At 36.8% G+C, this 9,455-nt stretch overlaps 1 annotated feature.

Annotated features, from left to right (window-relative positions):
- Positions 8,379–8,598: an enhancer, noted in NCBI's record as "active region_19795". NCBI's record gives its function as "activates an Ori minimal core promoter by ATAC-STARR-seq in GM12878 lymphoblastoid cells {active_cell/tissue: GM12878}" and the evidence as "EXISTENCE:reporter gene assay evidence [ECO:0000049][PMID:35858748]".

Here is a 9,455-nt window from a genome sequence, read left to right as displayed (position 1 = left end):
CCCATGCCCTGGTCCTGTGCTAATGGGGTGCAGCCCCAGACTCGTCGCTATTGTTGTCCCTTCGATTTCATCCTTACAGAAAGTCTGCCAGAAGAGCACAAAGAACTCCCTTGTCCCCTATTCAGACTCACCAGTTGTCAGCATTTTACCACGTTTGTGTTAAATTCATCATTCTCTAGATGATATATTAGATACATACATACATACATATCTAGATCTAGATGCTAGATATAGATAGATATACAATGCTATTTTTTCTCCACAATCATTTGAGAGCAAGTTGCAAATACGATGCCTCATTATCATCATTACCCTCAGAATGCTTTTACTAGCAACAAGGATATTCTCCCACGTAACCAAAACAGGAAACTGATATGGACACAATATCATCATATTATCTGTAGCCCTGTTTCCAGTTTTGCCCACTTTGCCAATAATGTCCTCAATAATCCCAGGGTCCAGAAATGCTTGTTTTACTTAGTTGTCTGCTCCTCTAGTCTCCTTTAAGAGCAGTTCCTCAGGCTTTTCTTGTCTTTCATGACTTCAGCATTTGAGAGAACACTACAGTTACCTGATAGACAACAATTCCTCGATTTGGCTGACTGATGTTTCCTTAGATCCAGGTTATGAAACTAGGGCAGGAATCTCACAAAACAGTTGCTGTGTTCTCAGTGCATAATATCAGAACGCACCTAATGCCAATCTTCCCCACGACTGGTGATGTTAAACTTTATCACTTGCTTAAGAAGGTGTCTACCAGTTTTTGCCACTGTAAAGCATTTTGTACTTATTACTTAATAAGTGACAATTATTAGTTCACTTCTTTCTGAAAAGTGAAAGCTTCTCTTCTCCTCATTTATTATTTGTATCAGCAGCGTCTCATGGGGTTAAACTATATTCAGTGGAATATAGTTTAATGTTGTCTTTATTTTGATGCACAGATCACCCCAGATTGATCTAACGGGAGCTGGATCCTATGTCCTTTTGTTCTGTCTCCATTGTACTTTGAGCAATCCCTCCCTCTTTAGCAAAGAGGTTCCAGCTCTGTCTTGTATTTTCCCTGCCCTGGCCACAGAAAGACACATCTCCAAGCAGTCTGGCTTTTTGTAGTGGAAACTAATATTTAGAAACCATGATTGGAGAGCTAGATGTGCTCATTGTTAGTGGAGTACTATTGTTTTTGGGCCTTCTCCATGGACAGAGCTACGAAAAATATCTATGTATGTGTAAATACAGTAACACACACACCACACACACACACACAAGCATATCTATCTAATCTATCACATGTAAAGCCATGCGTTCACACCAATACCTTCAATGACAATCTTACATAGCATTGTTCTTTCTAGTCTACTTTTTTTTTTTTTGAGACAGAGTCTCACTCTGTTGCCAAGGCAGGAGTGCAATGGCACCATCTCAGCTCACTACAACCTCGGCCTCCCAGGTTCAAGCGATTCTCCTGCCTCAGCCTCCCGTGTAGCTGGGATTACAGGTGCCTGCCACCACGCCTGGCTAATTTTTGTAGTTTTAATAGAAACGGGGTTTCAACATCTTGGCCAGGCTGGTTTTGAACTCCTGACTTCATGATCCAACTGCCTCGGCCTCTCAAAGTGCTGGGATTACAGGAGTGAGCCACCACGCCCAGCCTCTTCTACCTTTTCATAGTTGAAACTGGCTTCTCTCACAACAAGAAAGCTGGTTCTCATTGCTGTCAATGTATTCCTTTTTACATAATCCTTTAGTGAGTAATCACAGTTCTTCTGAATAGGCCAGTCTAATGCCTTACTGCTGCCAATGATGAGAGACTCTGTACATCACTTGAGTACCCCTCAGTCTTTTGGCTCAGGCTCCAGCATGTGAACCGCTCTACACAGTCTTGGCACCAGGGCGAGGATGAGACCTTTTACTTTCATAAATTTTTCATCTTTTCCTTTTAAAAAAATCCACATATCCCCGATCTGCTCCCCACCCCAACATCATAGGCACAATTTAAAGATTTTATTGACTTTTTTAAAGAAACAGCTTTTGTTTCATTGATTTCTTTTCTGGTCTTTCTTATCTTTTTTCTTCTGCTTACTTTGGGTTCATTTGATTTTGTTTTATTTTGTTTTTGTCTAGTTTATTAAAATAGAAGCAGCTATGATAATTTATTTAAACCATTCTCCTTCTCCAGTATCAGCATCTAGAGCTATAAATGTACCTCTAAGGACTGCTTTTGCTGCATTCAACAAATTTTCATATGTTATCTTTTTATCTCATTCAGTTCAAAATAATTTTTAATATCCTTTTATATTTATTTGCCTGTAAGTTATTTAAAAGTTTGTCAGCTTCCAAAGATTTGTGGATTTTTCAGATATATTTGCTATTAATTTCTAATGTAATTCTGATGTGACTTACACAATTTGAATAATTCTAAATGTACTGAGGTTCCTTTTATGGCTCAGAGAATGAGCTATATTAGTAAATGTTCTGTGTGTATGTAGCCTAGGTTGGTTAATGTTCCATGAGCACTTGAAAAGACTATGTGTCTTGCATTATAATATTTAATAAATGTCAGTTGGGTCAAGTTGGCCAATAGTGTTGCTCATATCTTCTATTCAATACTAATTTTTTGCCTCATTGTTATATCAGCTAGCTAGATAGAACAATAAGTTGCCTTGTTAAAATATTTAATTATGATTATGGATTTGTCTGCATCTTCCTTTATTTCTGTCAATTTTTGCTTCATATATGTCCGAGCTCTATTATATGAAAGACATATAAGACTATTCTGTCTTCTCATTGACTCCTTTGTCATTAAGAAATATATCCCTTTATCCCTGGTAATAGTTCTTGTCTAGAAGTTTACTTTTTCTGATATTACTGCTATTCTAACTTTTTAATGCTTCTTCTTCACATGGTACAGTCATTCGTCCTTTAATGATGGGGATACATTCTGAGAAATGCACTCTTAGGCTATTTTGTCATTGTGTGAACATTATAGAGTGTACTTACACAAACCTAGATGGTATACCCTACTACACACTTATGCCACATGGCATGTCCTATTGCTCCCAGGCTACAACCTTGTACAGCATGTTACTGTACTGAATACTGTAGCCAATTGTAACACCATGGTAAGTATTTGTATACCTAAGCATAGAAAAGGTACATTAAAAATACAATAAAAAGGATTTTTAAAAGGTACACCTGCATAGGATACTTACCATGAATGGAGGTTGCAGTACTGGAAGCTGCTCTGGGTGAGTTACTGAGTGAGTGGTGAGTGAATGTGAAGGCCTAGGACATTATTGTGTATTACTGTAGACTTTATAAACTGTACACTTAGGCTACACTAAATTTATAAAAAACAATTTCTCCAGTGATAAATTAACCTTAGCTTACTACAACTTTACTTATAAACTTTTTAATTTTAAACTTTTTGACTTTTTTATTATACTTTTTTGTAATAACACTTAGCTTAAAACATGCATTGTACAGCTATACAAAAATGCTTTCTTTCTTTATATCCCTATTCCATAAGATTTTTTCTATTTTAAAAAATTTTTAACATTTTTACTTTTTAAACTTTTTTGCCAAAAATCAAGACACAAACACACACTTTAGTCTAGACCTACACAGGATCAAGATCATCATTATCACTGTCTTCCATCTCTACATCTTTTCCCACTGGAAGGCCTTCAGGGGTAATCACAGGCATGGAGCTGGCGTCTCCTATGATAACAATGTCTTCATCTGGAATTCCTCCCGAAGGACCTGCCTGAGGCTGTTTTACAGTTAATTTTCTTTTTATAAGTAGAAGAAGTGCATCTTAAAATAACAATAAAAAATTCAGTATACTGAATACATAAGCCAGTAACATAGTCATTTATTATCGTGATCAAGTATTATGTACTGTATATAATTGTATGTGCTCTATTTTTATGTGGCTGAAGTGCAGTAAGTTTGTTTACAACAGCATCACCACAAACACGGGAGTAATGAGTTGTGCTACGATGTTACAACAGCTCTGTTGTCACCAGGCAACAGGAATTTTTCAATTCCATTATAATCTCATGGGACAACCTTGGTATAATCAATCCATCATTGACTGAAACATCATTATGTAGAACATGACTGTATATCTTTTTCAGTACTTTTATTTTTAAATATATGTTGTTTTGTTTTTTAATATAAAGGGAATCTCTCGTAGAAAGCATGGCGCTCAATCTTCTTTCTCATCCAGTCTGACAACCCCTTTCACTTGAATTATTTAGTCTATTAACATTTTATGTAATGATTGATATTATCAAGTTTAAGTCTACTACAGTACACTTTGTTTCCTATTTGTATTTTGTTTTCTCTATCTCTTAATTTTTTTTGATTATTTGAAAAATGTTTAGTAGTCTATTTCAGTCCCTCTATTGACTTTTTAAGCTATACCTCTTTATATTATTGTTGTAGTGATTTTCTGTAGGGATTTCAGTATGCATCCTTAATATATCACAGACTATTTAGGATTAATATCGTGCCATTTCATATAAAATGTAAGAACCTCCTCTCATTCTCTGTATTGTTATCATGTATTTTACATTTACATATATAGAAAACCTCATAATACAATGTTATTATTTTTATTTTAAACAAATTCATTTTTAAAAAGACATCAAGACAAAAAATGTAATCTTTTATATTTATCCAAGTTTCTATCTGGTGTCAATTTGCCTTAGCCTGAATAACTTCTCTTACTATATCTTGAGCATGAGTCTGTTGGCAAAGAATCTGGTATTTTTCACTTATTTGAAAATGTCTTTATTTTACCCTCATTTTTGAGAGATATTTTTTCCAGATACAGCATTCTGAATTGGCAATATTTTTTCTCAGTCCTTTAAAGAAATCATTCTACTGTCATCTGTACATCATTGTCTCTGATAAAAAGTTAGCAATTGCTCTTATCATTGTTATCTCCTACGAAATGTGTTTTTTTCCCCCCTCTGGCTGCCTTTAATGTTATTCCTTTCCCTTTTTTTTTTTTTTTTAGCATTTTTTGCTTCATTTGTGTTTATTATTCTTGGTGTTTATGAAACATTGAGTTTTAGGTTGATTTTCCCCCAATTTGAGAAATTTGGGGCCATGATTTCTTCAAATACATTTTTTTCCCTGCTTAATTATCGCTTTCTCTTCACCTTTATATATACCAGTTATACAGTGGGTCCCCCCTTAACTGCAGTTTTGCTTGCTGCAGTTTCAGTTATCCCTGGTCAACCATGGTCTAAAAATATTAAATTGAAAATTCCAGAAATAAGGAATTCATAAGTTTTAAATTATGCGCCATTCTGAGTAGCATGATGAAATCTTACACTGTATTGCTTCATCCTGCCTGCACATGAATCATCCCTTTGTCCCATATACCTACACTTTATTTGCTACCTGCCCCTTAGCCATTTAGCTGTCTCAGTTATCAGGTTGACGCTTGTGATATTGCAGTACTTGTGTTCAAGTGACCCTTTTTTAACTTAGTAATGGCCCTAAGAGTAGTGATGCTGGCAATCTGGATATGTCAAAGAGAAACTTGAAAGTGCTTCCTTAAGTGAAAAGGTGACCTTGATGTTCCTTGGCTGGGATTTGGCACTATCAGCAGTTTCAGGCATCCATTGAGAGTTTTAGAACATATCACCAATGGATAAGGGTACTATACCTTTATTAGACTGCTTAATTTTGTTTCATATCTCCTTTTAAAACTCATTTTTTACAGTAATTTATATTCATTTCTTGACCTTTCTTCTATTGTCTCTACTAGGTTGTTAAGACCCTCCAATTTATTTCAGATACTGTAATTAACAGTTCTAGAATTTCCATTTGGTTCTTTTACATAGTTTCCATTTATCTACTGAAATTCCACATCTGTTCATTCATTATGACAATTTAATTCTTTAAGTCCTTGATTATAATAGTTGATTTAAAGTCCCTAATTGCTAATTACAACTTCCCAGTCATCTTGGGGTCTGTTTCTATGGACTTTTTTTTAGAATTATGGCTATAATTCTTTTTCACATCAATTACTTTTTTATTGCATGTCAAGCATTATAGGTGATATGTTGTACGGAGTCTGGACTATTATCTTCCTTTAAAAAGTGCTGGGTGTCATTTTGTCAGGGTTGTAAAATCATTGGTGCTTCCTTTCAGTCTCATCAGACTCAGTTTTATGTTTTGTTAGGATGTGTCTATTTCAGATTTGGCTTTAGTTTTAGGGCTTGCCTTTACTCTAGGGCTGTGGTCTTCAACAACAACAGCATCACCTGGGAACTTATTAAAAATACAAATTTTCAGGCCCTACTTCAGAGCTACTGAATCAGAAATTCCAGGGGTGAGACCCAGCAATCCGTATTTTAACAAGTGTTTCAGACGACCCTGGTACATGCTGACATTAAAAAACCACTGCTGTAGGGCATAGCCTTTGCTCATAAGAGGTGGCAGAGAAGTCTATCCACCCTGACTGGGAATTTTCTCTCAGCATTGTGCAAACCCCGGTATCCCATTGTTCAGCTCTCAGCTCCTCAGTAGCCACACACTTATACCTCAAGGAGTCTCACTTTCCTCTAGTGCAATCCTTCCTTCAGCCAAGGATCCAACAGAAAATCCCTGTGGAGACTTCTGAGCCTCTTCTCTATGGAGCTGCCTTCTCTCCAGTCCCCTGCCCTGAAAATTGTAGCTGCTTCAGCAACCCAGGTCTAATCTCTGCCTCCTCAGCTCAGTGAACCCTCTGCTCTGCCTGGGCTCCATCTCCCTGTACTACCACAGGAAAATGTTCCTTTTCTCAGGGATACGAGTCCTCTATTTGCTGTTGCCCAATACCTGAAAATAGTTGACTCATACTTTGTCCAGTTTCATAGTTGCTTACAATGGAAAGGCAAATTTGGCACCAGTTACTCCATCATGACCAAAAGCAGAAGTCCTATTCTAAGGTTTTTTAATATGTGTCATTTTCTTTTTAATGTGTCCTAAAATATATGTATTGTTTTGTATGTAGTATTTTTAATTTAGGTAAATGATATATGTTTCTTACTTTTTTTAACATCGTGCCCAGCTTGCCTGATCATCTATGTTGCTATTTAGAATATTCAACCCATTTCTTTCACCTGCTTCACAGTACTCCACAGAGTATATCTTCCACATTCTACTTATTTACTCTCCTAGGCATGGGAACCAAGATTGCCGCCAGCTCTCCACTCTGGCAAATACAATTACAACGTTCTTGTACAGAGTTGGACTGGAAATGCTAGATCACAGGGAGATGTAAATGAGTTCAATCTATGTAGCCACTAACTGTGCAAAAAGGTTCCTCTCCCCACATCTTTACCAACACTTGGCATTATGCTGCTCTCTAATCTTTGCTAGTTGAACAAGTAACGTGACTCTCATAGTTGCTTCATTTTGCTTTTCTCTGATTACTGATGGGTTTGAACATCTTTTTATAAGCTTTTGAGTTTCTCCTATAAATTACCTGTTCGTGTCTTTGACCATTTTTTATTGGGTTTCCCGCTATTTCTTGTTGATTATCAAGAGTTATTTACATACTCTGGATTTTAATTTTTTATTGCTTTAAGATATTGCAAATAACTTTTATCATTGTCTTATATGTATATTACTTTGTTTATGGTATCCTTCATTAAATAGAAATACTTTTGATGTAATAAAATTTAAATTAAAATTCATTAAATGTTGTCTTTTGGCTTATACTAGCTCAATGTAGTTTAAAGGCTCCTTTCTCACCCTTAAGTACAATTGTTTTTCTATTTTGTCCTATATTTTCTTCTATTACCATAATAGTATTTCAATTCTTATTTAGGTCTTTATTCTGGTATGTAACTATGGCAAGTCACTTAACTTCTCAGAGACTCATCGTCTCCATCATTGAATGGAGTAGCATCTCATCTAATGGGGTTGTCATGAGGATGAAATGTCTTAATGCATGTAAAGTGCTTAAAAGAGTGCCTGGCACATAGTACCATGTAAGTGATTGCTATTATAATTAAAATAAATGTATTTAAGTATAATGTTTAAGTAACAATGCAATATGTGAAAATATAGCAAAAATCAAAAAGGTAATTCTAATAATTAAAGCTTGAGAAACATGAACCAGAAGGAATACATTTTGATTTTCCCAGAGTGGAAGGACTCAGCATCAAGTCAATAAGAAATCCTGATGTCGGCTGATTTTACATTTCCTTCCCTTCACACTCATTTCTCCCCTTAATTAGCTACTTAAAATGATACACTAACCCCATTGATAAGTAACATCTTTTATCATGAAATTCTTTGAGAAATTTTTGAAAAAAGAAAACTGATTTTTAAGTCCACAGCTGTTGCTCTGTGCAGACCTAGTTCAGTACAATAAAATCTCAATGTTGTGTAAGAATCTGGGCTTGACAGGGTTATCCAGGTCTGAAGTTGCCCAATATTTATTTCTGGTCCTTTCATTTCCCATTCTCACTTTCTGTGGTAGGAGCTGAGGAAGAGTGAGAAGACTGAAACGTGGGTGGCATGAAAGGAACAAGGGTATTTACTAAGAAGAGCCTCAGGCTCGTGTTCTGACCCCACTCCTGGGTGCTGCAACTCCTGGAAGCAGGCAGGGTGCTATCCAGGATGCTCCTGACCCCCTGCTATGCCTCCATAATTGGAAGCCTTGCCCGTCTGCATTTCCTTACCTAGAGTTTCCATCCAGTTTTAGCCCTGCTCTACCCACCTGGAGCATCTCAGTGCCCCCACTCCCATGAGTGAGTGGGCTTGCTTGCCCTGTGCTAAGGCTTTGAGATGACTTAAGGCACAGGGACCCTGAAGCCAGGAGCTGTGATGTTCTGAAGCTGCCAGCAGACCTTTTGGACACAATTAAATTATAGAAACCTCTAAGTGTGTTCCCCCAAGAGAACAAGAGGAAACAGAGTTCTGGGAGCCAAGTATTGGAAGGAGAAAAGGAGAATTTTCCCGTAAATTTTATTTATCCATTGATTTGTTTATTCATCCATTCAAATGTCACTCATCCACCCACTCATTCACTCATCCCTTCATTTGGTACAAGCCCCTTGAATCAGACATCAGGGGTATGAAGGCCACTTGAAGAAGGACCTGCCACCCCACCATGCACTGAAGCTTCCCCTGTGCCATGGTGGGCAGGAGCCACCAGAGGAGTTGCTGGAATAAGGTCACTGCGTTCTCTAGACTGTCAGGGACTCGCTGTTTGGCCCTGGATACACACCAGTGAATTTCTTTGAGCTTATGCTCTCTCTATTCGAGAATATCTGTGGTGTCTAACTTCATCCAGCTTTCAAGAGTCTCCTCTTGACCAACAAAGGTTGGTTATAGCTTTTGTTTGAAAGCGTTGAACAAAAGCATTGTGTGTTGGCTTTTAATTTAGCAAATCTAAAATTCATTTGTAGAATAATCAGATGAGACAGTCTAAGTAAGTTTCAAAA

The sequence above is a fragment of the Homo sapiens genome, chromosome 3 (genome assembly GCF_000001405.40).
Source record: "Homo sapiens chromosome 3, GRCh38.p14 Primary Assembly".
NCBI classification, from domain to species: domain Eukaryota; kingdom Metazoa; phylum Chordata; class Mammalia; order Primates; family Hominidae; genus Homo; species Homo sapiens.
This window is presented reverse-complemented; position numbering and strand designations above follow the sequence as displayed.